The following is a 5293-nucleotide window of genomic DNA, read 5'->3' as shown; positions in this document are numbered from 1 at the left end:
ATAATTTATCCTTTTTATGTTATAAAATTTATTGGTTAATTATTCATAATATTCATTTGATTTAACGCAATAATGCTGCAGTGGACCTTTTGGTACAAACATTTTACGTGCACATATGGTAGTCAAAATAGATTCAGCAGTATTTATCAAAAGCAAAATATACATATTTTTGGATCACCAGTTCTATGACTAATAATTGACCCTACAAATATGCTAATGCATTACAAAATGCCATAGAGTTAGTTTGTAATAAGGAAGACTAGAAACAACTTAACCATGCATTAAATTAGATGAGGTTAATCTACAGATTTAAAATTAATGTAGCCTTTAAAATGAGCAAACAAGAAAACACACAGATTAAAATAAATAGATATGGAAATATCTTCATGATAAGCTACAAAAAGAATATTCTCACTTGTGTAGAAGATCTAATTCAAGTGTATGTGCTTATATGAGCAGAGATTACTTGTAAGGTTGGAAGAAAACAAAAACTACAAGACGAAGGTCACTTTTATTCCTTCTGAATTTTGTAGGGTTTTCATGTTCTTCCTACTCTAAAATGGATTTTAAAAACCCTTAAAAATAAAAGATAAACTTTATAAAGCATGTGCACTTTATTTTTAATAAATAACACTGTTTTTTTTTCAAAGCCTCTATACCAAATACAAACCCACCTACAATATATGAAAGTGATGTCTTACCAATTCTGATTTTCTGTGGAAAAATTATTTGCTTTTATTTACATTTTCATAAGCATGAGTGTTGTTTTACAACCTTCCAGGTATTTATAAGACATTTATTTTTCCTTATTTGTATGAAATACATACTTCAGTGTTTTACCACTTTTTTTTTTTGAGTTGTGGACATTTAGATCTTTTTTCTTACTTCTGCATTTTCTCTCCACATTATGAAAATTAAGCCTTCCCTTCATAATGTTTTTAGTTGGTGCAATTTTTATATAGCCAAATTTATCATTATTGTTATGGGGTTTTTTTGGTCCTACTTGAACTTTCTTCAATAACAGCATGTACAAATCCATTATTTTTCTGAAGTGTTTTTAGAGTTTTAACGTTTTACTGTGAAAATCATTGATCTAGCTACCTTTTTGTTTTTATATAAGCAGTGAGATAGCAATTAAGATTTATAACCTCTTCTTGGGCTGGTTGCAGTGTCTCAGGACTTGAGGTCAGGAGTTCAAGATCAGCCTGGCCAACATGGTGCAATCCCATCTCTAGTAAAAACACAAAAATTAGCCAGGCATGGTGGCATGTGCCTGTAATCCCAGCTTAGGAGGCTGAGACAGGAGAATCGCTTGGACCTGGGAGGTGGAGGTTGCAGGGAGCTGAGATCTCGCCACTGCACTCCAGCCTGGGTGGCAGAGTGAAACTGTCTTTAAAAAAAAAAAAAAAGTATCACCTTTTCTCTTAGGTTGCTTAGATGTTCTTCTAATATCACTTCTTAACTATTATTTTTGCCTTCTGATTGAAATGCTTACTAAATCCTAATACCTATGTGGGATTGTGTCTGAACTTTCAGCTGGTCCATTGCTCTGTTTTTCTTTCCATATACTAGCACTAAATTATTACTTGAAAAGTATTTTTTTTTATATCTGGTGAGGTATGTGCCCAACCACACCATTACATACAATATGCTTTTGAATTGATTCTGAAGTTCTTTCTAGTTCTGGTATTTTCTGGCTATAAATTGATAAAGATTTGACATTTTTAACAGACTGTCTTAAGTTCCCGAAATTTTTGTTCAAGAGTAAGAAACTATTCATCTTATTCAATGTTGTTCCCATATTACCAAGTAGTATCTAGGAGAGACACAATAAATATATTTGCAGAACGAATAAGAAGTAATTTTCCTAATGAACCTGCAGTTGGACACAGACCTCCATACAAATCTCTGCTCTCTGGGTCTGTTGTCGAGGTTACAGGAAGTAATATATGTGAGAAAGCATTATTCAGGATCTAGCACATAGCAGGAACCTGATATTTAATAGTTTTATCTTACTACCCTTACACTTAAATTCTTAAAAATTTTTTAACTCTGGAAACAAATCACTTTAAATAGAAAGTGTAGGAATTTAAAAATATCTAACCTGCTTTTTTTTTTTACTTTTTCAGTAGACAAATTCATCATAAACCAAATTAGGAGGGCAAAATTAATTAAATTCACAAGATAAGTCTTAAAGACCTATATTTTTCTTGTTATCTCCATATTGTCCCTGACTAATGGAATTATATCCACTGGCTGACAAATAATTAGATGTCTCTGCATCTAATTACTAAGAAAATTAGGGCATTCCGCCTAGACCATACGTACATTTTCCATAACAGAAATTCCAAGCATACATTTGGGGGACTATGTCATTCTATTATTGCTTTAGATATATGGCAGGGTTCTTTTAGACTAAGCAATAATTGAAAATTCACTTAAACTACTTTTATTCTAAAGAAATTTTTTTTTCATTTATGTTGGAGAATGACTCATACCACAGAGAACCCGCTTTTTGGAATAACAGCCACTTAGATTCACAAGATCCTATGATATTCAATATTCGAGTCACCTTTCTAGAGGAAGAGATTGTATTTCCTTTATTTTTGGACTGAGATGAAATGCATCCTTCCTTCTCTGGTGCAAGAGGGACTCACAGTCTCCTGCCTATGAATTGCATGTTTTGCTGCCAGCAACACTTTAGCTGCTGAAATATTCATACAAGAGCCTGGGCTTGTGTTGCAGTGATTCACATGAGGGGAAAAGGAAAGCTGTTATTTTGAACGTAGGGGTGAACTTGAGCTCAAGTAAAGCTTTGGCACTGATTTTAACTTTGAGGAAAACCAAAGATAAAGGAAGATAGTTTTTCCTGGCTAGGGCGCTGAATTTCAAAGTTGGGTTTTGAGTGAGCTGCTAAGTTGTAATTCCTGATGCAGAAGTTTCAAGAGGCAGCAGGGGAAATCAATATTCACATGAGGCCGAGTCGAAAGGATTGCCCATCGCAATCTTCAGGTGGTCTTCCCTTTGCATAGGAGCCTGGGGGCAGCAAGGAACTGAGTGGCAAGCAGCTGTGCTGCACCTGGCATCTGAATCCAAAGATGACGTTGGCCCTGACGTCATTCCCTTCCAGCCAGTCCCAGCGTTGAATGCTCACTACTGAAATTTATAAAATGTGGCACCCAAATGCCTTAAGACACTGCGTGTCTGTGTTTATAAATACCTACACATGCCTGGGTGAATAGTGTGTACACAACAGGGATGGGACAGCCAAACACCTGCTTTCTATGCTGTACAATTCCACTTGGCGTTCTATGATTTTTCTGGGAGTATTTCAGAATCAGTTCCTTCTACAATTTCATATTTATGCTTCATTGCCACAGTTATTAGAAACACCTGAAGTCTAACTGAAGCATTGCTTTATCTCCCCTGCTCCCCTTTAATTGATAAAGATGTTGAGAGAAAGGGATCCTTTATTGAAGACGAACCTGTATTCCCTGCTAATGAGCCAATTCCCTTGTCACCCCTGATAGGGAAGATGCTACTGTTGTGCGCTTGCAATAGTTAAGATACTAGAGAGGGAAAAAGTTACAGGTGACATATTGAACATCTAATAGGAGCAGACATCATACACAGATTTTGCCCTTAAAGGTAGCTGGGATGTGAGTAAATGTGCATTGTTCTGGTATCGCAAGACAAATTTCGAAAATTTCTAGAGCTTATTGTTGATACATCCCCTTCACCAATTTAAAAACTGAACATCCTTGAGATTTTACTTTTATGCAATTTGACTTCCCCAGTCTAGACCCCAGAGAAACCTCCTGAGCACATATATCAAGATGAGCCTGGGAATGTCACATGCAGCAACCTTTACATTAATAGTGAGTAGGCAGATGGAGGAGAGACATATTAAGCAAAACCCAGGGCTCTCTGGGGCAAAGACAAGACTGCATTCATTTTGACAGCTCTCATTGGAAGGAGGGGCTAGAGCTGCTGCTCTGCTAGTGTCTTCTAGTCTCTGGACTCCCCGGAAAACACTTCCTGGAGCTCCTCCTATCCCCTCCCCTCCTAGCTTGCTTCTACTGACATATTTAAAACTACCTGGGGAGCTTTTTCTTTCAGGGCATGTGTTTCTCATTGTACATGTGGTGTGAAGATCACAGAAGAGAAATGCGAGCATCTACAATAAATACTACATGAACCCAGAGATGCACAAAGGCCCCTGGACATTAACAGGTGAAATGCCCATCAATCCCTGACACGGGCAGGCTTCCACACTGGCATCCTCATGCCTCTTTGTGCTTGGATCAGATATATGCCTGGGGATGCTCCAGGCAAGTTCTCTGGTTTAGGGGACAGGTACATCCTGGGGACAGGCATATGTCTCCTCTGGCCATGCAAACTGAAAGATGGCGTAAAGGAGAATGGAGTTGATTAATCCAAACAATGGGAAGATGCAAGGTCTGTGTCCCTTACTTCTGAATTTCACCATAAGACTAGTTTTCAGCTTTCAGGGTATGTACAATCATTGTAATGTGGTGTTTACTCTGTGTGTTTTAATTGCAATTATTCATATTAAGCTGAATAAGAGTAAACAGTTACTTCTAAAGGAAGAAAAAAATAGAAGCTGAGTGACTTAATGCTACTGTGTGTACATGCTGAAGTTGGCTTTCTGTTTACAGAAGGGTCAGCAGATAAGGCTGCTGAAACTGTGCAAAAACCATAAAATATCATTAAATCATTCTGGCTTGCTCTAATGTAAAGGTGGTTCAAACCCCAGAAACAGGGCTGAAGGATTCATCCATAAATTTATGATACAAAATTGGAGCTTGTGCTAGGAGAATCCAAAATCAATGAAAATTGGGAACTAAATGTTATAAACATTCGCCCAGAATTATTGAAAAAAATGTTAGTGTATTTTATTTGGGAAAAACATGAAATACTTCTAAACTGAAAGGAAGTGTTAATAGTTCTTTTTCATATGCCTGAGAAAAAGGGAGAAACACATTTCCAGGTAGAAAAGTAACTAAGATTATTGTTATTCATAATAAAATAACATTTTAAGAGATCATGTAAGACATTCAGCCAAATTTGAAGTGAATTTTTAATAGTACTAAACAAAGCACTACGCACTTTTTATTTATTAATTTTTGGTAATGGCCATATTTCCTCCCATAGTAACATTGTATGATGTGTTCACTTACATTTCTTTGATAAGATTAGGGTAGGTTTAAAGAAAAATCATTTTTTTTTGTTTTTGCAAAATTAAAGACAGCTAGGATTCGCAATTGTACAG

The sequence above is a fragment of the Homo sapiens genome, chromosome 2 (genome assembly GCF_000001405.40).
Source record: "Homo sapiens chromosome 2, GRCh38.p14 Primary Assembly".
In the NCBI taxonomy this organism is placed as follows: Eukaryota; Metazoa; Chordata; class Mammalia; order Primates; family Hominidae; genus Homo; species Homo sapiens.
This window is presented reverse-complemented; position numbering follows the sequence as displayed.